The sequence below is a fragment of the Homo sapiens genome, chromosome 15, assembly GCF_000001405.40.
Source record: "Homo sapiens chromosome 15, GRCh38.p14 Primary Assembly".
NCBI lineage: Eukaryota > Metazoa > Chordata > Mammalia > Primates > Hominidae > Homo > Homo sapiens.
The window spans coordinates 66,693,752-66,720,511 of record NC_000015.10 but is presented as its reverse complement, the minus strand read 5'-3'; the positions used below and the strand labels follow the sequence as shown (position 1 = coordinate 66,720,511).

At 51.5% G+C, this 26,760-nt stretch overlaps 1 protein-coding gene across 4 annotated transcripts in view, besides 7 other annotated features; it reads right to left on the bottom strand.

The window, feature by feature from the left end:
• SMAD6 (SMAD family member 6) overlaps window positions 1-18,276 on the bottom strand; it is an 80,614-nt gene extending 62,338 nt beyond the window's left edge. The window contains exons 1-4 of one of the 4 annotated variants that reach the window (NR_027654.2): window positions 16,437-18,276; window positions 8,788-8,844; window positions 4,014-4,091; window positions 3,372-3,503 (exon numbers count right to left, since the gene is read on the bottom strand). Coding sequence is in view for 2 of the 4 variants with exons in the window: in NM_005585.5 (NP_005576.3) it covers window positions 4,014-4,091; window positions 8,788-8,844; window positions 16,437-17,253 (952 nt within the window). In the remaining 2 variants the exon portion in view is untranslated. The other 3 variants (XR_931827.3, NM_005585.5, XM_011521561.3) reach the window with 3 other exon arrangements.
• Window positions 8,242-8,741: an enhancer, noted in NCBI's record as "H3K4me1 hESC enhancer chr15:67004109-67004608 (GRCh37/hg19 assembly coordinates)". NCBI's record gives its function as "activates a minimal SCP1, AML or CMV promoter by ChIP-STARR-seq in naive H9 embryonic stem cells {active_cell/tissue: H9 hESC(naive)}" and the evidence as "EXISTENCE:reporter gene assay evidence [ECO:0000049][PMID:30033119]".
• Window positions 13,366-13,885: an enhancer, noted in NCBI's record as "H3K27ac-H3K4me1 hESC enhancer chr15:66998965-66999484 (GRCh37/hg19 assembly coordinates)". NCBI's record gives its function as "activates a minimal SCP1, AML or CMV promoter by ChIP-STARR-seq in naive H9 embryonic stem cells {active_cell/tissue: H9 hESC(naive)}" and the evidence as "EXISTENCE:reporter gene assay evidence [ECO:0000049][PMID:30033119]".
• Window positions 18,370-18,549: a silencer, noted in NCBI's record as "silent region_6568". NCBI's record gives its function as "represses an Ori minimal core promoter by ATAC-STARR-seq in GM12878 lymphoblastoid cells {active_cell/tissue: GM12878}" and the evidence as "EXISTENCE:reporter gene assay evidence [ECO:0000049][PMID:35858748]".
• Window positions 19,000-19,079: a silencer, noted in NCBI's record as "silent region_6567". NCBI's record gives its function as "represses an Ori minimal core promoter by ATAC-STARR-seq in GM12878 lymphoblastoid cells {active_cell/tissue: GM12878}" and the evidence as "EXISTENCE:reporter gene assay evidence [ECO:0000049][PMID:35858748]".
• Window positions 19,210-19,689: a silencer, noted in NCBI's record as "silent region_6566". NCBI's record gives its function as "represses an Ori minimal core promoter by ATAC-STARR-seq in GM12878 lymphoblastoid cells {active_cell/tissue: GM12878}" and the evidence as "EXISTENCE:reporter gene assay evidence [ECO:0000049][PMID:35858748]".
• Window positions 19,411-19,597: a silencer, noted in NCBI's record as "fragment chr15:66993253-66993439 (GRCh37/hg19 assembly coordinates)". NCBI's record gives its function as "represses an EF-1alpha promoter that drives an FKBP-Casp9 reporter gene in an ReSE screen in K562 erythroleukemia cells {active_cell/tissue: K562}" and the evidence as "EXISTENCE:reporter gene assay evidence [ECO:0000049][PMID:32094911]".
• Window positions 19,642-20,142: an enhancer, noted in NCBI's record as "H3K27ac hESC enhancer chr15:66992708-66993208 (GRCh37/hg19 assembly coordinates)". NCBI's record gives its function as "activates a minimal SCP1, AML or CMV promoter by ChIP-STARR-seq in naive H9 embryonic stem cells {active_cell/tissue: H9 hESC(naive)}" and the evidence as "EXISTENCE:reporter gene assay evidence [ECO:0000049][PMID:30033119]".

Below are 26,760 nucleotides of genomic sequence, written 5' to 3'. Positions count from 1 at the left end.
TGGAGTCAGGCAGGCCCGGGTGCTTAAGCAGCCCTGCCACTTCAGGCTCCCGCTAAGTGACTCAGAGCTCACCCAGCCCGGCCTGGCCAGGGCTCCTTCCCTCACCCAGGGCTTAAAGCTCCTTATGACATGTTCATTGTTTTTCTAGGCTGGAGTCAGAGATGCTGAGAGAACCCTGCCCTCTGCCACCAGCCTTTCTCGGAACTGCCATTTCTTCATCCTGCAATTCTGAGAATTATGGCATGTTCTACTTTAAAGTTGAAAAAAAAAAAAAAGTTTGCCTACCAGCCACTCACACCTTAGTATGAATTTATTTAACTAGCTTCTCTTCCTTTCCTCCCCAAACTAAACTGAAATCAAGCAAATGGAAGAGGAAAGGAAATACAGCAGAGAAGAGGACAGCCTGACAGGGGCCTTGGACAGTCAGGTGACAGCACCCCACGCCCTGAATTAGGCGAGGAAACCAGAGTGCCAAAGTTCTGAAGGTACCCCAAAAGTTCTAGGCTTTCCATTCTTCCCAAATCCCATCAAAGACTCCAGGTGTAAGGTCTCCAGATCTGCTTAAAGCTCTGCATTCTAGCCTCCCTCCACCACCCCCCTCCCCAGTGACCTTGGTGAAGCCACTTGCCCCCTCTACACTGTTTAGTGGGAATCACGTATCCAAATTGGGAGCTGATGTAGAGATCAAATGAAGGTTTTCCAACAACTACTCGGCAGAGAGCTGAAGCAACTGCGTCTCCTTTCCTGCGGCCCCTCGCCCTGCCCACTCATGCCTCCTTGCCTGCCTGGGCCTGGGACTAAGCCTCAAGAGGCCCATCCTTCCCCCAAGTGGCCTCAACAACAGGACAGGGAAGTAAAGCAGAGACCATGGAGCTGGATAAAACAGATAAGAGTCCCAGGCCCAGCGCTGGGATTGTCATTGTGCGAGACAAACTAGGGCAGTCTCCATCCTGGGGCTGCAGACACCCTGTTTGGGGATGACGTACATCCCAGGACACTGAGGGTAACAAGGCTCTCGGGATCGGCAGACCCCCAGAACTCCGGGAGATGGAAGGCCAGGCCAGCGAGTGGTGTGATCTCTGGGTGGTCCCCAAGGTTTGTCCAGTAGTGGCCTGGAAGGGCACGGAGCCGCCCTGCACCCTCGCTAGCCCCTCATCCCCTTCCCCGGTACTTAAATCAGGACAGGTGCCCACCAGGCTCCTTTGGATCATTTTACTTTGCTCCTGCCAGGGTCTGGCTTGGGGAAGGGAACAGGGATACTTGTTGTAGAACACTGGGCAGGGCCCTCAGGGTGTGAGCTAGGCAGTCACACTGTCCAGGCTCATGTTCCAAGCCTTCCACTTACATTATGGGCAGTTGGCCCAGCAATGAGCCTCAGTTTCCTCCTCTATGAAATGGGGAGAATCACACCTGTCTCACAGGGTTGTGGTAAGGAGTCAATGAAATGGAGAATGCTGGCGCTTAGCAAAGTGCCTGACATGTAGTGAGTGTCGATAAATGTCAACTGCTGTCATCATCAGCACCATCATCATTATTTGTCCTTAGACATCAAATGCCCCGGCCTGGCCCAACACATTGTGCCCACCTCTGCCCCTCACCTTTCTGACTTCACCTCCAGTCCTGCCCTCCCACACAACCTTGCATTCCATCTTGCAGAATGACTCGTGCCTTCACCATCCACCAAGACCTGTCACCCCCTAGGCCATTTCCCTCCCTGAATATGTCCTCCAGTGTGACAGCCAGCACAGCCCCATGTCTTTGGGCTCCCAGTAGGCAGGCGGGCAGCTTAACCCACAGGACCTCAGATCCCTACAGCACAGAGCAAGCTGGAAAAGCTAACAGTGGGCCCTCAGCGGGGAACATTCCACGCATGGCATCCCTGGAAGGGACCAGGATGACACAAAGGGAAACACTCCATTCACCTACTGAGGCCACCCAGAACTCACACCAAAGTCCTTCAAGACCTCACTCAATGTCCTTGGCATAGGAAATCCCCAATTTCCTCCCCAAATCCTTCCGCTCCTTAGAATTCTAAAGCATTGGACACATTTTCCAACACAGTCCTTTTGCACAGTCATGAGTAGCAGGGACCTTCTCACCACCCAGTACCAAAGACTGCTCTGGGATATCCGGTCGGAAATCTCAGACACAGGCCCAGTGAGGCCCAAAGGCAACAAAACTAATGGCCTTGGGATCTCCTGAGACTTCCCAGCCTCTGGATTGAGGGAGAGGCCTCCTGACAGTGCTTGGGGGTCTGGTCCTTTCAGCCTGAGCCACACCAGGCCCCCTCTGGAATGGCTGGGATCAAATGAGATTACATCTGCAAACACCTTAAAACTGTAAGGTATGCACATGCACAGACACACACACACACACACACACACACACACACACACACACGGACTTTCCATCATTAACAATAGGGAGAAAGAGGATGCCAAAAAATTACCCATCTGTCCAGACAACCAACGCCAATGGAATCCATCTGAGGGCTGGCAGTGACACAAAATCGCAAATTCAGAAATACTTTTAAGCCCCTTGCTTCAAAATTATATGTGGCTTTCACTCATGTAGGTGCAGAGGAAAAAAGAAAGGATTGAAATTTTAACTTGCGTTCATCTGGTTGGGCCTTTGAGGGAAATAAATTATTAGAGAAGGAAGTACCCTAACGAAGGGAGCCACCAAAGACCAGAAGGCACTCAGGAATAGGACCCAGAAGACCTGGACCCCAGGACCACCGCAGCCCAGGACCAGGTTGCCCATTGTGGGACCCTGTATGGCAAGTCACATTCCTGCTTCCGCTTCTAGCCTCCCCATCTCTGCAACAGTCATACTCTTGTAAGCTCCCATGCCTTGGTGAGAAGGGAATGGATAGGCAAAGGCTCTGGGCTGGGGAAATGGCCAGGCAGCCATGAGCAGCCAGTGCTGCATTATCCTTAGAGTTGCAGAGAGACTACATCAAGAACGACAGGACTTTAGGGGAAATACATTTATTGAAGGTACATTTGGCCCTTGCAGAAAAGTGGGGGACAAAACAGTGATGAAGAGCACAAACCCTGGAGACAAACAGCCCATGGCTGTCCCAAGAGAATGCATATAAAGCGGCCAAGTGGAGTGCCGGCCATAGCATACACTCAATAAATGGCTATGATTTTGGCGACTGCTACCATGGCATGGATGTGGGGTGAGGGAAGAATGTCTCAGATGGAGACACACAGCCATCCAGACATGCCCACAAGGTATGCAGCCCCAGCCTGAGGGGCTGTCAGTCCCAGCCAGCATGCCACCAGGCCACCATGCCACCAGCCATGCTCCCAAAGGGCCCCACAGACCTTGGTCCTGGCCCTCGATGTCCCCAGTCCAACACCAACCTCTCATTTCTCAAGGAAAGTTTGATTCAGGTATTCCTCCGGATGTAGGGGTCCCTATGACCAGCTTCTAACTGCAGGGGACAGAGGACTCCAAACCACGGTTCCCTCGGCTTCCTATCCCAGCATCTGCTGCTCAGGGAGAGACACAGAAACCACTGGCTTTGCCAAACTCCTCACTTGCCAGATCCTCCCTGCAAGCTCATTCAACCGGCTCCAATTCCCCCAATCTTCTGACCCTTCACATTGGTCCCTCCCCTGGAGTGAGGACAGGAGGAAGACAAATGTATACCACATCCACTTTGCTGCCTCTCGCAGCTGGGGGAAGAGGATCTCTTTCTAAACACGAAAGGGAGAGCTGTGCTGAGCTTTTATCATTTCCAAGTGAGACAAGAGAGAGACAACTGGTTAAAACGTGGTAGACAGGTGCTTTAAAAGTTATCTTCAGGTTTCACTCATACAGACTGTTCTTAACCCCAAAAACACCAGGGACTGAAACATTGGCAACCTTCCCATCCAAGGATTGGAGGAAAAGGGAAACAAAAAGAAGAGGGGAAGTCAAAAAGTCTTCCACCAAGCCCCCTCCGCAGCTGTCCCCTTCGATAAATTTCAACACAACAGCAATGCACAAGAAAAAATGCTGACCTGAGAATTCACCCGGAGCAGTGATGAGGGAGTTGGTAGCCTCCGTTTCAGTGTAAGACAATGTGGAATCGGACAGATCTGTGGGAGGAAAGAAAAAGAGAACTTAGTTGGCCGTGGGGCAGCGCTCTCTTTTTTCTTCTTTCTCATGCATCTCTGTACATGTGCACGTGTGTGGATGTGTGTGCTTGCAAAGGGCAGCATGTCCCTCCCAACTTTCTGATGTCACCCTGTAACCCCATCTCAGGATCACCCCAGACCAGACCAGCCAGCCCAGGAACTCTTCTGGAAAGTGCTGACTGTGGTGAAGCTGGTACCTGAAAACGCTGCCATTGCCCTGACCACAGAAATAACCCAAGTTCAGGGGACCGAGCAAGTAGCAACTTGGAGCCTCCGTGGGTAAGGTTAAATTAAGCCCCTAAACAATTCATAGTTGCTGTACTTAATTACAACCATTAAAATTCTTGAAGTTGTTCCTTCTTGCTTCCTTCCTTCCTTTCTTCCTTCCTTCCTTCCTCCCTCCCGCTAGGGCTGGGGAAACTGTTTTAACAAGTCACCAGCCGTCCTCACTCTGTCCCGCTTACACCCCTCTAATTAAGGGCTCAAGCATTTGCTCCCAGATTAACTTTGTTTTTTCTCTCCCCTCCCCCACTCCCTAACATCCAAACCTGCTCACAAGAGCAACTTTTAATGCCTGGACTGTTTTTTTTTAAGGCGTTCTTTTTTTTTTTTTTTTTAAGTAGTTTTAAGTACTTCATATGTACATTATTGGTTTTCTTCTGTCTGCCGAGCAGTTAGATGAGAAAGAGAAATTCTTTTGCACATTTTCTATAGAACACTGAGCTGCTAGTTTGACAAGCCGATGCCTTTTGGGACAGGCCGACTTGGAAAATTTTTCCTGGGCCTGTGCCTCTGCTACCAGCAATGGGTGTTGTCCCCGTTAAGGGACAGGCCTGTCCAGGAGTTGGAAGGCCTGCAGCACACACATCTTCTCACCTGGCACAATCCAGGACTGGCTCGGGTGGCTCCACCTGGCCCCAGCCGGCCCAGCACAGCTACTCCAGGCAAAGGATTCCTGGGATAAAACCGTTTGCCCAGGCCCTCACTAGCTAGAATTCCATTTGATCCTGCAGGAACTTTTTATCCTTTTACCACATGGCTTGGGGAGCAGGAAGATAAAACATTAACCAATTTGGCCTTTTTTTTTTTTTTCCTCTCTCGTTTTCCACTTGCCAGATGCTGACTGAGTGTTCTAGGTTTTATTTTGTTTTTTGGTCTCATGTGATCACAGAGGCTTAGAAGTGAACTGGCTTTTTGTTTATGAAAAAGCAACAATGCAAGGAAGAGAAAATAATACCAAAAAATAACGCGGGACTATTTATCAGGGAATGAAAAAGTTATCTGCTGGAAAAATATGTTAGGAGAAAAATAAGTACACACAGAAAAATCTTTAAAAAAAAAAAAAAAAAAAGCTCAGTGCTCAAGTGGGAAGTTCTTAAAAGGGTTTTGCTTTTAATACCTAATGTTCCCAAAGTGCTCAGTGCCCAGAGCCCTGCTGCCACTTCTCATCTGAAGTAGCAACATCACAAGCCGAGTCCTATTTCTTAGTGAACTGCCTTACAGCCAACACAGACAGCATTGTGAGGTTTCCAGAAGAGTGGAAACGACAAGCGGTTTCCACCTTTCACAGCTAGTAAGTCCCTATCACGCCCTTGCCAAACCCTCACATCTAGTGTTTCTAGTGAGGCCCTGGACAGTGTCTCAATGGCTGCTGTGCAAAAGAATGTTCCCAGCCTCCATCACTGCTCAAGCCTCAAGGAGGAAGAACTCCATCTGCAAGTTGGAGCTCCAGGTTCAGGTCCCGCCTCCACTATGAGTCAAGCAACATCAGGGCTCACCAGCTTTTTCTATAAAGGGCCAGAGGTTAATATTTTCAGCTTTGTGAACTATACGGCCTCTGCTGCAACTACTCAACTCTGCCTCAGCCATGGACAAAATGGAAATGGACAAGCCTGGCTGTGTTCCAAGTAAAACTCCACTTCCGGACACCAAAATCTGAATTTCACGTAATTTTCAGGTGTCACAAAATATTATGCTTCTTTGGATTTTTTTTTTAACCACTTCAAAAATAAAGGCCATTCGTAGCTTGCAAACCATATAAAAACAGGTGGTGGGCTGAGCTATTTGACCACCGGCAAGTGTCACTTCCTCTTTCTGGGCCTCAGTCATCTCATTTGTAAAACCATGGGGACAACTGTTGGTTTCCACATGGTCACTCTGCAGGGCTGGGCAGTGTCCTGATTTTTGCTGCTTTATCACAGGCTAACTGACAAAACCTCAGGGCGATGATCCTTGACATTCAAACTGAGGTGCTAAGAACTTTCACTAAGAACTTTTGAGGGTTTTTTTCTCTAATGGAACTAGGGGTCCTACAAGCAACTAGTGCAATTATGCTGACTTAGGAAATGCTGAGACAGGCCTCCGAGGGAAGGACAGTGAGCCACCCACCTGAGTGGGGGCTGCTCTGAGTTTGTACCTCAACCCTGCAGCTCATTAGCTGGGAAGCTCCTCGCCCTCACTCAGTTTGATTCTTCATCTCTTAAGTGACAAGCTTCCACCACATGATCTCTCCAGTTTCCGAGAGAACTAAGGCTCCCCCATTCATGGGACAATCCTACTTCTGGAACAACAATAGGGTGGCCACCATGGTTTGGTGGCTGACTCCCACACCCTCGTGGAACAGCCTCTGCCCACCCAGCCTGAGAAGGTCACACTCCTGAAGGGACCTGGTGGGCACTTCTGACTTCACAGCAGGAGAGGGGTCTGGAAAGAAAACTGGGGTGGATATGCCTGAGTGTCTACGACACTAAGAAGTGACTTGCCCAGCCAGGCGCAGTGGCTCACGCCTGTAATCCCAGCACTTTGGGAGGCCAAGGAGGGCAGATCACAAGGTCAGGAGATCGAGACCAGCCTGGCCAATATGGTAAAACTCCATCTCTACTAAAAATACAAAAATTAGCCAGGCGTGGTGGCGCGTGCCTGCAGTCCCAGCTACTTGGGAGGCTGAGGCAGAAGAATCGCTTGAACCCGGGATGCGGAGGTTGCAGTGGGCCGAATTCACGCCACTGCACTCCAGCCTGGGTGACAGAGCGAGACTCCATCTCAAACAAAGAAAAAAAGAAGTGACCTCCCAGATGATGCTGACACACACTACTGGGAGGAGGCCTTTACCAAAAACCAAACAAAACCCACTTTTTGTGGTCACTTGGTGGAATGTTGCAGCATCGTTGCCACGCCATCTGACTTTTAAAGCTTGAGTCCCACGGGAACTGCTTGGGTCACAAAGTTGCTCTCCTGGTACTGTCAGGGCCAAACTAACTTGTGCCACAATCAGGATCCCACAGATTCCATCACTTCTCTGCCTTAGAACCCATGCTCTGAAACCCCACTAGAGGAAACAGAGATCCAAGCAATCTCCACTTTTATTTTGTTTTAGAGATGGGGTCTTGTTCTGTCCCCCAGACTGGAGTGTAGTGGCACAATCATACCTCACTGCAGCCTCTAACTCCTGGGCTTAAGGGATCCTCCCACCTCAGCCTCCTAAGTAGCTAGGATTACAGGCCTGAGCCACCACACCCAGCTAATTTTCATATTTTTTATAGAGATGGGGTCTTGCTATGTTGCCCAGGCTGGTCTGGAACTTCTGGCTTCAAGCAATCCTCCCACCTTAGCCTCCTAAAATGCTGGGATTATAGGCATGAGCCATCGTTCCCAACCACAACCTCTACTCTTTTTTTTTTTTTTTTTTTTTTTGAGACAGAATTTCACTCACTCTGTCGCCCAGGCTGGAGTGCAGTGGCGTGACCTCAGCTCACTGCAACCTCCCAGGTTCAAGCAATTCTCCTGCCTCAGCCTCCTGAGTAGCTGGAATTATAGCTACTCGGGAGCATGTGTACCACAACACCCGGCTAATTTTTGTATTTTTAGTAGAGACAGGGTTTCACCATGTTGGCTAGGCTGATCTCAACCTCCTAACCTCAAGTGATCTGTCCTCCTTGGCCTCCCAAAGTGCTGGGATTACAGGCGTGAGCCAACAATCTCTACTTTTGAAACCACTTACATCTACCCCAGAATATGGGCTGATCATCTAGGCTCAAGGTTTTACAGAAAACATGTTCTGCCTCTGAATGGGAGTTGTCTAAAATTACCAACTCCACTAAGCTCACCTAGGGGACAGTCCATGCCAGGGGCTTTGTGTACCAATATACATTCCTTTTTAACACTCCAATTGTTGTTTCTGCTCAAGTGAACATCTTGGCTTAAAAAGGGGGAAAATGTACAGCTCCTCTCAACAAAGACTTCATGCCCAACCTATTTGTCATACTACTAATTAATACACTCTAAAGGAGAATAACCCAAGGCTGGGGGGCCCAAGAGAGAGGAAAGAGACACAGAAATGCCAACCCACCTCCGGTGAGATGCATAAGTCAAAACCCATTCATCTTCGACAGGCCCATGTTTAAAAAGGTCACAGAGAGGTTAATGATGAGCCGCGGAATTTCGAGATGTAAATAGCCTGCTGCAGAAGCTGGGTCTGCTTTGGCCCAACTGTGGGAGTGTTTGTACAACTTCACCCCATTTCACAGCAACCAGTCCGGCTTTCACCCCTCCCCTCCAGCCCTCCAGCCCTCCAGCCCTGAGGCTGGACAGACACTGGGCTGAAGAGGACCCAGTTCGGGACACACCTCTGCAAGGGTAGGAAGGAGGGCACACTTACCCAGTGGCTTGTACTCGTCGCGAGGAGACAGCCGAGAGTAGGGAGGTGGCGGAGATTCTGGAAGACAGGAGACAGCATGTCACTGCCAGGGTTGGGGAGCTCACACCTCAGGTTCTACATGCTTTTAATTACTGGTTTCCCAAATAATAAACTCAGCCTCCAGGAAGCCCTCCCTTTGTCCCACCTCCTCTGCTGCCCAAATCCCCTCAACAGTTAAAGCCGCAGGCTTGGGGCACAGACAGATATGGGCTCAATCCCAGCTCTGCCACCTTTGGCTGTGTGACCTCAAGCAACTTACTTCACCTCTCTGAGCCTGTTTCCTCAGCTCTAAAATGAGGATAATAATCATCTAGACCTCCCAGGTTTGCTGGGATAATGTATGTAAAATGCTTAGTGCAGCTCTTGGCCCTGTCCAAAAACACCTCCATAAACAGTAACTGTTACTACTTTAACAAGAGAAACGTGAGTGCAGGGAAAGTCAGAGCCAGGGTTGCTGGATAAAATACCGGATGCTCAGTTACATTTGAGTTTTGGATAAACATGGCATCATTTTGTAGTATAAGTGTGTCCCTTTCAATATTGGGGGTGTACTTATACTAAAATATGGTGTGTTGTTTATCTGATACTCGAATTTAACTGGGCATCCTGCATTTTATTTGCTAAATTTGGCAAGCCTAGTGTGAGTGCAAAGGCCCAGACACAGAAACTCGTGTCCAAACAAGCTGCATTAGAGCTAGCATTCCTAGGTGCAGGGGAGGACAGTAGAAAGGGTTAGGACCCAAAAGGCCAAACCCAGCTATCTCAATAGGCCTTAAGCCAGTCACTTCCAGCTGTTGGCCTCAGTCTCCCCTTTTGTAAAGGACAGGGGTGGAACACAAGCTCTCTACAGCTCAGATGCTATGATTCCTTATTGTCTATGATATTTTTCTTTGGGTTTCATTTGCCTAAAATACTTCTCCTTAAAAACATATACTTTGCTTTCAGAAGAATTCCTTAGCTTCTTGCTTTATGGGAAGTAACAATTTGCTAAACTAAGTAACAATTTGCATGAATGAAATGACCCTTCATTTTCGGTAAATGAAACTAAACACAATCAAATCGCAAACTAAAACAAACTCTCAGTGGTAATAACTATTATTAAGCGGGTATCAGTAATGACACAAGGGGTAATAAGTGTTTTTCACAATTGTAATAAGCCACAATTAGTTACAGGAGCATTTGTTTTGCTCCATACACCCAATGAGGCCTCACCTCTTCCCCACCCCGGCTTTTCCAGCTCAAAGTTACTTCCAACAAAGTCAAAGCTCTGAGGTTTAGAAACAGAGACTTTCTGTGGACAGAAATTAGGGAGAAGGAAAAGTGAATCACAGAGTAGCCACTGAGAGAGACGCGAACATTTGCTCGGTGTCTACGTTGTGTCTCACTCCATGCCAATCACTTTCAATTTTACTATTTTAGACCTCAGGTACAGAGTAGTTAATTATGCTCATCAGGCACCTATTTTTATTTAATCCTTTCTCAAAATACAAAAATTAAATGAGATGACATTATTATCCCCATTTTACAGATGAGAAAACTGACTTGCGCATGTTCCCCGAGCCAGTCATGGTGGAGCTGGGATTCCAGTCCAGGCCTGACTCTGCTCTGCCACCCAATAAGGTGGAATCAAGAGATGCCCTGTCTTACACCCCTTCATCCCCGCTGGGTCTGGGACACCACCTGCACAGAACGCGCTCACTAAATGTGGACACAGACAACTGGGATGAGGATAATGGTAAAGTTGAATGCATCTGTGGCCAAAGATGTGCAGAAAGAGGATCTAGGGGGCTCTCAGGCCTAGAGGCCAGCCTTGAGTGAGGACCAGCCTCTCAGGATAAGAGGCAGGGCATAGGAAGGGCTGGAGTTCCACAGGAAAAGAGAATTGAGGCCAGTGTTTCCACTGTACAGAGAAGGAGACTGTGGCCTGGTGAGTGGAAGTGACTCCCTCAGGAGCTAGGTATCGAGCCAGAACCAAAGCCAGGTCTCTGACCTCCATGCCCTTTCCACCACCCCCATGAACTTATCAGAAAGCCTGCAATTCCTTAGGGTTACTTTTGCAAAAATCTGACTGGCTGAGGTCTAGGCCACACATGGCATGGAGCTCTGAACATCTGCCCCCAAGATTTGTCCCCAAAGGTGAATCTTGACAACTATGGGCAGTAGTGGCTGGAGTCAAGCCTCTGTAACCAATGCCAGCATCTCTTCCAGGGGCTGCTTACCTGGGACTCAAAAGGTGGAAGGCAGGAAAGGCTCATGAAGTCCCACCTGGAAGAGCTACCTGGGCCTTGAGTTGTGACACCTGCTACCCATGGCCATAGCTGAGTTGGGAGTTCCAATGTTGTGAGATAGAAAGAAAATCTATGAACCTGAACCATGAGACATGCCAGCTAGTGGAGCACTACAAACCGTTCAGGAGGGACCTCACCAGGCTCCCATTAGCTCTGGCAAAATAGTATGCACACAACTGTTTAACAACTGCAGGGACTGAAAGCTAATCACTAAATTCCATTGTAGGCAACTAAAAAAGTATGAAGGCTTTAGACTCCACCCCACAACACAAGGATTTAGAGTGTCAAAGACAGAAGAGGCCTTGGGGTTCACCCAACTCAATTCCTTCTTTTCACTGATATGAAACTAAGGTCCCACTTGCTGAAGGACCTGCCCAAGGCCACACATGAAGGTAGCTGCAGGTGTTACAGGGGAGGCCAGTTACAGACCAATATCAGGTGACCCTTTCCAAAAATTGAGATATAATTCACATACCCTAAGATTCATCCTTTTTAAAAATATACCATTCAGTGGTTTTTGAGTATATTCACAGTGTTGTGCAACCATCAACCACCATCTAAACACAAGACATTTTTTTTATCGCAAAAAGAAACACCATCCCCATTGGCAGTCACTTTCTAGACCCCAACCCCAAAACCCTGGGCAACCACTAACTTACTTTGTGTCTCTATGGGTTTGCCCATTCTGGACATTTCATTTCATACAATATATGGCCTTTTGTGGCTGGCTTCTTCTTTCATGTGGCACAAAGTCATCGAAGTTCATCCATGTTGTAGCACGTTTTGGTGCTGGACTTCGTTCTTTTTCATGGGTGAATGATATTCCATTCTTCGGACGTACCATATTTCATTTATCCATTTATCAGCTAATGGACATTTGGGTTGCTTCCTCTCTTTGGCTGTTATGAATAATGTGCTATCAACACTACTGGGTAACAATCAGCCGCCACTCCCACATGGCTGCGCCCTGTGGATCTGGACTGGTGGAGCCCCAGGGCATTACCTCAGGTGGGCAAGGTGGGCACTCAGGTGGGACACTTGGTGGGTGAGACCAAAGGTCAGAAAAGAAACTGTGAGCTGCCACCAGGCCCTCTGTCCACTCCCCTCTTAGAAGTTGTCTTAGTACTTTTAAAAGTTTTATTGATTTTAAAATAATAACCAATTTGCTCTAAACTTTAACAGGAGAACTTTTAGAGCACCGCAGGCCCCTCTGAAAGAAGTGGACCTGGTAGGGAGAGAAAGAAAAGAGAGGGAGACAGAAAGACATCAGAAACTCCAACCCCCTTGGACATCCAGCCTGAGGAATCAACTTCAGGAATCTCCTCCAACTTCCTGCAGAAGAGCAGTCAGCCAGGGGCCAGTGCACCAGAAGGTTCAGCTCAGCCCAGGCATGCCTCTGGTTAGCCCCCAGGGGGTACTTAGCCTTTTGGGATCTAGACCTAAATTCTAAAGCCAGAAAAGAGTTCACAGCCTCTCCCAGTGCCTGGCAAAGTTTCAGTTTGGGACATTACCTTACACCCCCATCTTTCCAGCTCAGCATCTTGCTTAGGAAAAGATCCACATGCCTCCCGGGTTGCCAAGTTTCCCCCCTCCCAAAGAGGGGCTGTGGATGGGGAGGGGGCCTCCTGAGTGCCCGTCCTTCCTGCCCCCAGAACCTGAAGACTCAACCCTAAGCCCCATGATGGGAGACGCAGAAAAGGAGCTCCTGGCACTTTAAGGCCGCCTGAGCCTAATTGCCCAGATTCCCCTGGCAGCCAGATAAACAGCGCGGCCGGCTGGCGCCAGCAAGAGGCAAACTGCACATTATCACCCCTTCCTCACCTCCAGGAGGAGCTAGGAGGAGCAGACAAGCAGGGCTAGGGGCCGCTGAGCCGGGCAGGGCGGGGGCTTGGAAGCCCAACTTGAAATTGATCTCATTTCAAAGGGATAATGCCAGGCCAAATAAAAGGAAAACTTTCTAGCCCATTCTAATTCCTATAGTCCTGGCCTGGGAACCCTGTGTTTTCCTAGGCGGCCTCCTCCAGTCGTTTAGAAGTTCTCTCTCTCTCGCTCTGTCTCTCTTCCCCGGGCGCAATTTGGATAATAGTAATTTACTGAATATAATTACAGAAAAAAAAAAAGTGGGGAAGCAAAGAGCAGGAGATTTATTCCGAAGTTAATGGATACTTTCAGGAGAAAGGAGCTCTATAAACACAGGTTAGAGCTGTGATTAAAGTATTTCTCCACATTTCCGTCCACATAGGCACCCACCGAGCTCAGCGAACTGGCTTTTCCTGGGACAGAAAGACACCCAAGGGGGAGGCAGAGTTGGGCCTGACTCCCACGGGCTGGGAGGCCAGGAGGCCCCTAGCCCATGCCCAGAAGAGGTGGGTCCCCTCCTGAGGACCCCAGTTTCCGAGACAAGCCTGGGGCAGAGTGGGGGAGGGGACGGAGGCCTGTGTGGCCTGGAATCTGCACATCAGCCCTCAGATTGTGCAGATTCCCTCCAACCCTTTACTTTAGATATAGGAAAAGAAGCCCAAAGAGGAAACTAGCCCCAAGGCCACAACTCAAGTTGATGGAGAGTGGGCTCTGAACAGCAGGGGTCCACACTGCCCAGGAAGGGGTCTTCTGTCACCGGGGCTCCCTGCAGTGGTCGGTGAAGGTGCGGAGGTGACTGCTGCCAGGTGGGAGTCCCTCAGTGCCGGTGTTCCAGTGTACTTTGCTCGCTAGCGGTGTGCCTGCGCTATGTGTGTGCGCGCATCTGTCTGCCCGGTGCCCCGGCCCTCTTCCCAGAGCCCTGGAAGGCGCAGTCTCCTTATCAGGACGCGCACCGCTGAGCCCCAGCTATGCGCCCGCCCAGTTACGGGAGCCAAGCTGGCGGCCAAGCGGTGGAGGCGGGTGGGCAGCCCAGGGCTCCCCCAGCTCTCAGGCCAGGGGCAAGAGGATCAACCTGGCACATACTGGAAACTCTTCCCGGACCATCGGTCCTCCCAGCTGTCCCCAGGGTGGCTGAATGGGGGCCCCACAGGCTAGCAGCTAGCAAAGAAAAGGGAGGAGACTTGGGGTGCTGCAGCCCTGGCAACAGCGCCTCCTTCTGGGAGAAGGAGGGGAATCAAGTCCCAAGGCTTAGTCCAGATTTAGATGGGGAGAATATTCCTAGAGCCACCCCCACTGACCAGCACGGTGGCTGAGAAGGGAGGTAACTCATCCAAAGTCAAGCTGCACGTTACTAGCTGGGCAGAGCCTGGGACCAGGTCCATGGTCAAGAACTGTTCTACTGCAGCTTGCCAGGTATCTCTTGACCTGTACCTCTCCAAACCTACCAAATGCAAACCAACACCCAAGCCAACTCCTAGTCCCAGGAGTAGTAGCAGGAGTGGTCCTGTCCATCGTCTCCAACTTTTTCACTCCTCCCCTCCCTGCCCAACCACCTGAACGTGCCTGGCACCTTGACTCTGAGCTGGCTGGCTCCCTCTCCTCTGACCCGGCTGGCTCCCTCTCCTCTGACCCATCCTCCAAGGTCCGGCTCCAGGTTGGAGCTGTGGAGCTCCTGCATGCCATCCTATTACATACACACCCACAGCCTTCTGGTAGTTCACACCCAATGACCTGGCCCTGCACACTTCCCTTCTTCCCCCATCTCTCCCCCATAAATCCCTGGTGGGATTATGTTTCTTGAGGGCATAGATCCTACTCATATTTCCACTCTGTTAGCCACAGCACCCAGCACAGTGCCTGGCCCAAAGTAATTGCTCAACAAACATCTGCTGCACACTGAAGTGGCGAAAGAGAATACACCTGCCAGGGGCTTCTACGAGAGTGGAAGGGACCTACTTTAAAAAAAAAAAAATCACCAGGAACAAGACAACCATAAATACTGGTCTCCTTCCCCAGAGGCAGTGGGGAGTCAGTTGGCAGAGGGGAGAAAGTCACTTCCAGGGAAAGCTGTCAGTAAGGGGAAAAGAGTACATAGAAAGCCTGGCATGAGCCACAGATCAGGGGCTGCTCATAGCTCCTAAATTGGGACTGGAGTGACCATGAGGGGAGTAGGGTGCCTCATCAACACTTCCCCTCCCCACCTGCCCCCATCAATGCCCTCTATGCAGGAATCATCACTGAGGGGAAACTTCCTTTCCTCTCCAGACACTACTCCACACTCAAACAAAACACCTAGGACAAATGCACCATCCTAGACCCACTTTCCCCTTCCACACAGAGTCAGGAGACCTACAACCTGACCCTCTCTGTGCTCCCAGCCTGGGTGCTGACTCTCCCCAGGGAAGCCAGAATGGAGGGATTCAGAGCCCTCCCAGGCTCAAGAGCCTGTGACTCCCTGCCAGTCCCACCCCTGCAAAACCCCAGTGCCAGCTAATGGATTCCCATACATCCCTCAGAGGCTAGCTACAGGCTAAAGTGTGTGTTCCCCACAAGACAGAGGTCAGAGCAAGGCAGCTGCAAGCTCCTGGCCTGCTGGAGCCTCCTGACCTGCTGGGGCCTCTGCCTGTCTGCACCTGAGCACCAGGGCCTGGCCAGGTAAGCAAGGCTGAGGGTGGGGCGTGTGCAGGAAATCCCAAGAGGAGAACAAAGAAGGGGGGCAGTTCTCAGAGGTAATCCAGTATCTGGCTTCTTCATCTACTCACGGATGCCTCCAAGACCCTAAACTCTATACAAAAGCTGAACACAAAACTTGAGAAGGACTATGGAAGACCCTGGCACTTGACACCCAAGGGATGTGGGGAATGATATTATGTGGGGAATAAAGAGGGTGCTCTTTACTCCAGAGAGGGGTTACCCTGCAAAGCTTTGTCGAAAGTATGCAAAGGCACAAATTGGACATTTGACGAACACTTTTGATTCTAGCTATGATTTGTGTACACCCAATTTCACAACTTACAGCTACTTGGACATAGAAAAGCACAGTGTGGGTAAGGGCACGTGCATACAAATGCTAGAAGCCTGGGCACAGACTGGGGTAGATTCCGGAATTGAGGTAGGAGGAAATAGCACCTACTTCTTTGGTCTCTCCTTGGCCTGCCCTCCCCTTTCACTGCCTATGAAGTTGGAGCCTACATCATGTCCCTGAAACTGCACAGAGAAAACTACGACATGTACCCTTTTAAGTTTACCGGAGCCTTGAGATAAAGTTGCCACTTGATGTGTGTGCTGGGACACCCACTCCCCTCGGCCGGTCTGAGGCGCCTCCCCTGGTGGCTCCCACGCTCCAAGGGCACCCGGGGGAGCACCCGCAGCTGCGCCGACCCGCAGTGTCACAGAGAGAAGGGCACGGAAGGGGATGGGGACGGGGACCCGGGGCCCCCCCGGCCGGCGCAGCGCGCTCACCGGGCCCGCAGAGCCGGCTGAAGTGGTAGGGGTTGCAGCACACGGTAGGGCCGTCGGCGGCGGCGGCGAAGCTGTGGCAGCCGCACAGGGGCTTCAGCTCCACGGCGTGCTGCAGGTCGGGCCAGCGAAAGAGGCGGCCGAGCAGCAGCTGCGGCGGCGCGGGCTGGCCGCCCAGGCGGAGGTCGGCGCGCGGCACCAGCACGCAGCCGCCCGGCACGCCGCCGCGGGACTCCACCGCCTCCAGCAGCGTGTCCAGCGAGCGCTCCTTGAGCCGCTTCAGCAGCGAGTACGTGACGGTTTTGAGTTCCTGCTCCAGCAGCAGCAGCCGCGAGCGCGCTTCGCGACTCCGCCCGCCGCCCGCCGGCTCCAGGGCCGCCCCGGCCAGGGGGTCGCTGGCGTCCCGGGGCGCGCCGGCGGCGTCCCGCTCCGAAAAGAGACAGCAGGTCACCGTCTCGCAGTCACTCTCGGGCAGCCAGCCCGGGCCTCCCGGCTCCGCCACGTCCAGCAGGGAGCTCCCAGCGCCGGCCCCTGGCTCCGACATGGGCCTCGGGGGGCCCCCTGCGCGCCGGCGCCTCCCCGCGCCCTGGGCGCCTCGCTGTCCCACTGCGTCCCGGGGCCGCCGCGGGGCTACCGGGCGGACTTCGGAGCGGCCGCAGCCTCCGCCCTCTCTTGCCCGCGGGGCCGGCTCAGCTCGGCTGCCCAAGCTCCCATCCTCGTCGCCGCCACCGCCGCCGCCGCTGCCGCCTTCCTCCCGGTCGGGGACCACACGACTTCGCCAAAGTCGCCGCACCAGCCCCGAGCGTTTGGACCTGAACATACGATATCCTTTGGCGCCAGGGGTGGGGGGGAGGCGGTCTCCGGTTACCGGGGGTCCGTTCCCTCAGCGAGGCGCCGGCTGCGCGGGTCGCAGCCCCACATGAAGCTCCGCCGCGGAGCGCCGTGCAGACCGCGCACAGCCTGTCGTCGAAGGGGCGCCGCAGGGCGACAACATGAGGGAGCTCGCCGAGGCGGGACGGCCGGGAACACGCGCACGCCGAGCCGCAGTCCGCGCGCGGCCAGCGGCTACATGGACCACAGCGGCGGGGCTGCTCAACAACTCCAGCCCCCGCGCTTTAGGGGGGCTGCAGGCGGCGCGCCGCCAGAAAGACCCCACATGGGCCGGCGAGCCTTCAAAAGTTGTGCGGCTGGTCCATGAGCACAAAGCGCTCGCGCGAACCCCTAAATGTGTCTGGAAAGCCCTGCCTTTACCTTGCCTTTTTTTTAAACCAAAGCGCTTAACTACATGGGCTTTTCCCGCAGGATCCGAAAGGCAGGCTTGTTGATACCCCCAGCTCCCTTCTTACTCCCTGCAAAAAGAAAAAAAAAAGGAAAGAAAGAAAAGGAAATCCCAAACAAAACCTAAATCCCTGGATTTGCATGCACGAAAGGCCAACGCCGTCTCAGGTCCCAGGCGCTAGATGCACTTGGAGCGAGTTTCTCCTGGACGCGGGTGTCAACACATGAGTGGAAGCTGTAAAAATCCCAAAGAGCTGCTGGGAATCCTTAATTAAAAATGCAGTCCACCGATGCAGAGGTCGCAGCCCGCCCCACGCTGCCCTCGGACGCTTCGTGCGCCGAGGCTGCCGAGGTCGCCCCCCCTCCCCCCTCCACAAAAGTGCCTCCCGGTGGCCCCGGGGTCCCAGCGAGGTCTGGCGAGGCAGCGCCCGGCGGCTCTTTCTCTCGGCTCAGCTCCCTCGATCGCTCCCCCGCTCGGCTCTCTCTCTCTTTTTTGTTCTCCTCAAACGCACACTGAGGGCCCCCGGAGGAGCGCCGCGGAGTCATTGGCTGCCTCCCATCATATGCCAGTCTAGACACTTTGGCGGCTCCGCGGCGCTGATTGTTGCGCAAACAAGGTTTCAAGTTTCTTAACTCTTAAAGGAGAACACGTCCCATTGCAGGGCCGGAGGCTCCAAGGGGCCGGCTCCCGGGGCGGGCCGAGCTCGGGCCCCCGCCCCACACCACCCCGGCACCCCCGCCCAGGGCCTGACAGCGCCCGCGGCCCGCTTTCTGCCTCGCGTTGCGCCCAGAGCACGGATGCGAGCGAGCACACACGCGCGCGCGGACACACACACACACACACACAGGGTTACACGAGCCACGAGCAGGCGCGCAAGGCTCGGCGGACCCACTGAGACTCGGACGCAAACGGGGCGCTTTGCCTCTCCCTGGCTTGTGCACAAACTTACAAACACACTTTGCACTTTAAAGTTGTTCCAAACCCCCATCCTAGGGTAGGCTAATAAAAATGGGTGTGCATGTGTGCCTTCCAGGGTTGAGCCTCTGAGGAGCAGGGGGCGGCGGATATGTTGGGGTAGCGGATCTTCCGTGACTGCACTAGGGGCTCTACGCTCCTTGCACAAAGTCGGGGGTCGCTCTGCCGGGCCAAACAGGGAGCTCAGGACGCTTTGCGTACGGTGGCTCCAGGCTCGCCCGGAGTGGGGAGATGGAGAGGGTGGGGTAGAGGCGGGGAGTGTCTACTCGCTGGCTCCTCTCGGTCGCCACGGCCCTCCCTTGGAGCGAGGCGGGCCGCCGGCCGGCCGGGCCCCCTCCAGGCCGGGTGCTTCCTCTCCCTTCTCAAGTTTACTCTCCGCACCTCGGAGAGGGCTGTAGGTGAGGGATCACGCTTTCCCTAGAGAGGTTTCCACGCGAAAATGGGGGTGGGTTGGGGGCGGGATCGGGGGCGCGGCGGCAGCAGCCTGACGCCCGGCGCGGGAAGGGTTAAGGCCGCTCCTGCCCCTGGAGCCGGCGCGGCGGGGTACCTCCTCGGGCGCGCTCGCTAGTCCGAGGGTGGCAAAAGTTCAAGCTTGTAAAGTCGGGATTGGTCCCGCGCGGAGGGGAAAAAAGGCCTGGGCCCCCCTCCCCCCCCGGGCGCGGCGCCGATTGGCCAGGCAGAGGGGCCGGCCCCGCCCTCTCCCCCCGCGCGCGGCGGCCCCACCCCCGGCGCGGCGCCCCGCCCCTTTCCGGGCAGGAGCCTGGCCCCGCGCTGAATGAAAGAAATTCCGCTACTCTCATTGGCCCGGGGCTGGGCGCCATTCCCCCGCGGTGACCGCGGGGCGCCGGCGGGCGGGTCTCCCTGGAGAGTGACCACGCGTGGAGCTAGCCTGGGGAGTGCGCGGCGGTGCGAACCCCCGGCCGTGCCCAGAGTCTGTGTGCGCTGGGGGAAGGGTGGCATTTGCAAGGAGGATTCAGAACCCTTTGCTGAGCTTTACCTGGAACCAGGTACTGTTCGCGCTGCGCTCTCTGAGAGTGGCCGTTGCTCCCCGAAAGAAAGATCGGACTGAGACACTTCCTCACACCCATCCCCTACTACTTTGGCCAAATTAAAGTAGCGGTCCTAGCCTCAGTTTCTTGTTTGAAACCGCGGATGAGGATGCTTGCCCTTCGTGCTTCACAGAACCACGAAGGTCCCTGGAGATAGTGCACGTTAAATGCACAAATCGCAAGCGAACAGCAGGATGAATTTTCACACGTGAACAAACACACATGATGTCACCAGCACCCAAAAAGCAACCTGACCTGCACCCCAGAAGCCTGTCTTGTGGCCCCTTTCAGTCACTTTTCGCCCATGGGGAAATTAATACATCTTAAAATACAAACAGAAACTCAGTGTATTTTCTTTTATCCCCGTGTATGCTCTTTGTGGATTATCTTTGACTGTGTATTACAATAATAATAGTTCGTGCGTATTGAGTCGTTACTATGGGCAAGGCAATGTTCCAGGACTTAGTTAACGCTCACAACACTTAACATAGGTACTATTATTATTAATATATAAGGACTTAACATAGTTACTATTATTATCTCCAGTTACAGATGAGGAAAACTGAGGCACAGGAGCTCACTCATGTAACTTGCCACTAAAACGAGGATGACATTGACAATGCTAACATGCTAAAACCAGAGAGGCATGAACCAGCACGCCTGCTCATCCTCTGGCTGGAAGTGGTGTGTAGGTCTGTGATGCCAGACTATACTCTTTAGGCAGGGATTTCCAAAATGTGGTTCAAAGGTCCACCTGCTGAATCAAAGTGTCAGGGGTTGAGGCCCCAGAATACAACGTTTTGGGGATAGCTGTGGTTGTTAACACCATTTTATTTTTATTTTTTATTTAATGTATTTATTTTTTTGAGACAGAGCCTTGCTCTGTCCCCAGACTGGAGTGCAGTGGTGGGATCTCAGCTCTGCACTCAAGTGATTCTCGTGCCTCAGCCTCCCAAATAGCTGGAACTATAGGCATGCACCACTATGCCCGGCTAATTTTTGTATTTTTAGTAGAGACGTGGTTTCACCATGTTGGCCAGGCTGGTCTCGAACTCCTGACCTGCCTGAAGTGATCCGCCTGCCTCGGCCTCCCAAAGTGTTGGGATTATAAGCGTGAGCCACCACGCCCGGCCTGTTACCACCATTTTTTGCTTATTTTTTGAGACGGAGTCTCACTCTATCCCCAGCCTGGAGTGCAGTGGTGCGATCTTGGCTCACTGCAACCTCCACCTCCCGGGTTCAAGTGATTCTCCTGCCTCAGCCCCGCCAAGTAGCTGGAACTACAGGCATGCGCCACCATGCCCAGCAAATTTTTGTATTTTTAGTAGAGACGGGGCTTTACCATGTTGACCAGGCTGGTCTCGAACTCCTGACCTGCCTGAAGAGATCTGCCGGCCCTAGCCTCCCAAAGTGTTGGGATTATAGGTGTGAGCCACCACGTCCGGCCTATTATCACCATTTTATAGATAAAGACACTGAGGCACAAAGGCTTGCCAAAAGTAACTTGCACAAGCTTATAATTAGTAGCCGATGCCGGATTAAAACCCAGCCAGTTTGGCTGAAGAAGGGGTATGCTTGTGTAATGGGAAGCAAAGGAAATGGGCCGGGCAGGAAGGATTACCAGCAGGTAACCTGCAGGACCTCCTGAGGGCAGGGATGTGTGTGCTTCTACAGATGCTCAGCACGTACCCCTAGGGGCTCCCTTCTTCCCACTTCCACCCCCATGCCTCTCTGAGGTACCATGGCATCCCAATCTGCAGAGTTCCTGGGGAAGTGCCCTGAGAGATGCCCCAACAGCCTCAGACCAAGGAGAGATTGAAGCAGTGACCTTTCTGGGGGGATCTGCCTTCTTTGCTGGGCAGTAATGGCAAAATCTGGCATCATCTCTTGCTCACTGGGAGATGTGGCATCGTTCCTGATGTGCTCAGGAACGATGCCACCTGAAGCTCACTGAAACCAGAGTCCAGTGGGCCTAAATTCAGTACTGACCCTACTTACCTCCCTCAACTTTATGAGCCTTGGGATTCTCATCTGTGCAGTGGAAATAAGAATCATGCTGGAGGTGGCTGACAAAATTAAGTGACAAGAGGACCTAGAAGCAGCCCTCCTTACAGGGCCACTGCATCTGAGTGGAGATAATGTCAGGATGGGAAGAGCAGTGACAGTCCTGCTGTCCTTGGATTCCTAGGGCCCATCCAGCCTAGTGCCTGGCATGCGCTGTGGCCACTAGAGGGTGTGTATGGCGGGGCCCAGCAGGGCAGGGCTATGCTATGACCTAAGTACACCCTCCCTCGAGGCTGCCAGACTGGAGAGCAAGCTCCAAATCCCTAGGGATGTAGAGAAAAGAGAGGAAAGGAAGAAGGTGGGGTCCCTGATGCTTATCCACAGGTCTCTGCACCCGAGTTACTCACAAAGTAACTCACAAGTAACTCTGACCCCCTCAGATTCAAATGTGTCCCCACTCTCTTATTCCAGTATTTTCCCCAAAGCACTCTATGCTTCCTCTTTACTGGGCTTGTCCCAATTCAAAACCGTACAATCTTTTATCTGTTCCCCTCTACCTTTGGGATGTAAGCTCCACAAGGGATGAGATGGTGAAAGTAGCAGGCCCAGGCCACCCACAGCAGCGTGGAGGCAGTGGAGTCAGAAACAGGCCATTTGATGCCATTCTGCCTGTGCCATTGAAAAGCTAAATCACATAAGACAGCACTTGCCCCATTTCTTCTTCCTGGTCCCTAATTCAATGCCTGTCACATAGTGGGCACTCAATAAATATTTGTAGAGTGGTTGAAATAAAATCCCCCACTTAACTGAACTCCATACTTATCCCTGTGCCAAGCACATCAGTATTTCATCATATCCCCCCAACAACACAGTGAAGAAGGTTTTATTCTTCCTAGACCCATATTTTTAGAGGAGGAAACAGAGAGGTTAAGTAATTTGTTACAGATCACACACCAAGTAGGTAGCAGAGTTGAGAGTTGAACCCAGAGCTGCGTGAGATGTGTGTGCATCTTCTTAACACCTAGTCCTAGAAAAGAAAACCAGTCCCTTGCCCCTGGGAAATGTCTCACACTACTGGGAAGGCACAAGGCATGAAACAGTAGAAATCATGCAAGGGAAAGGTTGCTTCTGGGTGGTGGAAAAGGAGCAGTATTTACGGGCTACCGCTTATGAACAGAGACATCACAGAGGGGATCTGGGCCACCTCTCGCTATAGGCAGGTGGATTGGCAGGGAGACTGAGTCATCATGACCCACTTCATAAGAGACTGATGGATAAACCAGGGTCCCACTTATTAACTCTTATGGCCCAAATTTTTTAGACTATCTGTAGGCCCAAGTGGCTAAGTGGTATTGTCTCCCCCTTTGGAGGGTAAATCTGCTTGGTCAACATTGCCCCAAATGGGAGAGTTGGGCACCCTTGGGCAGTGGTAAACAACCCTTTTGAAGCTCTGATGAATGCTCTAGACCCTCTCTACCTTGGAAAATGCATATGTGAATGAATGGAACTTTGTGTTCATTCATTTAACACAAATTACGGAGCTCCTACTGGGTGCCAGGCCCTCCTATAGGTGCTAGGCCCTCCTATAGATGCTGGCCATCCTGCAGTAAGCAAAACACAAAAATTCCTAGCTCAAGGAGTCTAAGGGGGAAATCATAGCAAAATAACCTGGTAGCCAGTGTATTGAAGGTAAAGGTGCCAAGGTCAAAAATAAAGCAGAGAAGAAGAGAAAGGAATGTTGGGAGACGGCAGGTTGTGGTTTAAAGGAAGTGATCAGGGAAGGCTTCCCTGAGAAGGTGACATTTGAGCTAGGTCTTGCTGGTGGGGATAGAGTGGGGAGGAAATTAGCTATGATGCTATCTAGGGGAAGAATGTCACAGCCACAGAGAACAGCAAGTGCAAGGGCCCTGAAATAGGAGCAGACCTGGCACGTTCCAGGACCATCAAAAAAGTGATGAGATCGGAGTAATATTGGGGGCAGATTGTAAGTTCGTATAGGCTATTGTTGGGTCTTTGGCTAGTCATCTGAGTGACTTGGGAGCCCCTGGAGGTTCTGAGCAGAAAAGGAACAGGATCTCCCTTCTGTTTCAAGAGGCTCCCTTGAACTGCCTTGTGAACTGACTGCAATGGTGGGGTGGGAGCAGGACCTGGTAGGAGGCTGTGGCAGTGGTCCAGGCCAGAGGCCATGGTGGCTTGGACCAGGGTGAGAGCAGTGGACGTGGGGGAGCAGAAGTTGGATCCTGGACATTTTATATATCCTAAAGATAGAGCCAGCATGATTTGCTGTCACATCTTTGAAAGTATAAAAGAACATCTGAACAGTATACTCATGTCATTGATGCTTAATCTTTTGCTGGTAATAGTAATAATAATATTAGGAGGTTGTTTTGAAGATCAAAATGCTTAGCGCAGTGTCTGGCATCTAGTAAGGGCTCAATCAAAAGTAGTTTTTATTAGTGAAATGAGCATGGAGTCAGTCATTTTCAAGTTAAGCCACTGAACTAACAGCAACCCTGCAAACTATTTAACCTCTGTGACCCTCACTTCCCTCGCCTGTAAAGTGGACCAACTGGACCAAGGTGGGAGTTAAATGAATAAAGTTCTGGCACACTATAGGACTCAGCAGCTCAATAATCTGATTAATAAAGTTACTAAGCTTCGGTACCTATCTCATATGGTCATTGTGAGAGTTGACTGAGATAATACGTGCAAAGCATTTAGAGCTGCCACTGTTATTCTGCTCCTTGTGTACCCATAGGGGAGGGCAATGCCCTGGACATTATCAGCCTTCAAAAATATTGCATGGATGAATGAATGAATGAATGAATGGAAACATGAGTGAGCAAAGTGCAGTGAGTTTCATGGTTGTTAAAAGGGATGGAGGCAGTTGTACAGAGGCCAGGGTGAGGACTGTGAGCCTGCATTACCTAAATCCATCCTCCTCAAACTGGGCTAATGTGGGGACTTTTGGAATCAAGGGATTTTTCTGCAGAGCTTATTTCATTCACAGATGTTGGGGGAATTTATTTATTTATTTTATTTTGTTTTGTTTTATTTTATTTTTGAGACGGAGTTTTGCTCTTGTCGCCCAGGCTGGAGTGCAATGGCATGATCTCAGCTCACTGCAGCATCCACCTCCTGGGTTCAAGTGATTCTCCCACCTCAGCCTCTTGAGTAGCTGGGATTACAGGTGCCCCCACCATGCCCAGCTAATTTTTTGTATTTTTACTAGAGACGGGGTTTTACCATGTTGGCCAGGCTGGTCTCGAACTCCTGATGTCAGGTGAACCACTGGCCTTGGCCTTCCAAAGTGCTGGGATTACAGGCGTGAGCCACCACGCCCCGCCTGAAAATTTATTTTTGTATTACATTTGTAGTATATTTGATCTTTAATATTCAAGCTAACCCAGATATATCAGGGAATAGAATGCACAATTCTCATGAGTTCTGAACAGAGATGGAAGACTTCTAAAGCGTGTCACGGTCACTGTAAGCAGCATCAGACCCTGACCCCAGACTGATCACAGACCTGACCTCGGCCCTCCTGGAGGAGGTTCACTCTTCTAACCTTTAGGGGATTGTAGAAGCCCTCAGTTGAGAAATGATAACCAGAGATGTGTCACATTTTGGTGCCTGGCTAAAATTCAACAGAGCATTTCTACTGGGCACTTACTATGGGCCAAAGGCATTTAGTGCAGGGAGCCCTGCCCTTCAGGTACTAGGAGTTTATTTAAAGAAATGTCTGTATTCAATCACTCTTTTATAACATGGCCAGAGAGAGCCTTCTAGCAGTCCTCTCTGACTATCAGATTTCCTGATTGAGAACACTTTAGTGGATCCCCGTGGCTAACAAGCTAAAGAGTAACCTCCCAGCCCTGTTAGGAGCAGGTCCCACTTCATCTCCCCACCGCTCCACTACATGAATCCTGAACAAGAGAGGGCTGCTCTCTGGAACACCCCAAAGTGCCCCACCTGCTTTCTAATATCCCAAATTTTGCACTTGCTGGTCCATCTGCCTGGAATGTCCTTACTCCTTTTCCTCTGGGCAAATTTTTTCCCCCTTTCTCCCCAAGGCTATCTTCCTTGCACTGCCCTGGCATTTTACATTCCTACTTCCTAGGGCTGGAGATGATTTGTCCACATTGGAGAGACCCTCAAGAGCAAAGCCTGAGCCCTCCTCATCTCTGCACCCCTAACCCAGCACCCAGGAGGTGCTCTCTTTTAGGGAGAGGAGACAGATCTTAACTTTTGATAGATATAGCCAAACTGGGTACCCCAGAGAAATTGTGCCAATTTCCCCTCCCTGCAGCAATGCCCATACGTTGACCCTGCAATTCCAGTTTATACATACACCATACAGATGTACTTGCATATGAGTGAAACGACACATGTATATGGTCGTGTATTGTATAACTGAAAGGGGGGAGTTAGGCTCCATAAGGTTACTTTATAGCAAAAAGAAAGAGATTGGAAACAACCTTAACTTTATCGATACAAGATAAAGAAATTAGCAGTAGTTAAAGAAATTAAGGTATATCATCCAGCTGTTGAAGATGAAGGAGGGGGCCTCCTGTATAAAAAGTTCAACACAGGCCGGGCGTGGTAGCTCACGCCTGTAATCCCAGCACTGTGGGAGGCTGAGGTGGGCAGATCACCTGAGGTCAGGAGTTCAAGACCAGCCTGGCCAACATGGTGAAACCCCATCTCTACCAAAAATACAAAAATTAGCTGGGCATGGTGGCGCATGCCTGTAATCCCAGCTACTCGGGAGGCTGGGGCAGGAGAATCGCTTGAACCCAGGAGGCGGAGGTTGCAGTGAGCCAAGATCACACCATTGTACTCCATCCTGGGTGACAAGAGTGAAACTCCATCTCAAAAAAAAAAAAAAAAAAAATCAAGGCATTAGCTAACAACAATGTGTACAGTGTGCTACAATTTGCATGAAATTTTTAAAAGCCTATATGCTTGTAGACACGTAAATGTTGGAAAGATACATGATAAGCTGGTATAAATGGTTGCT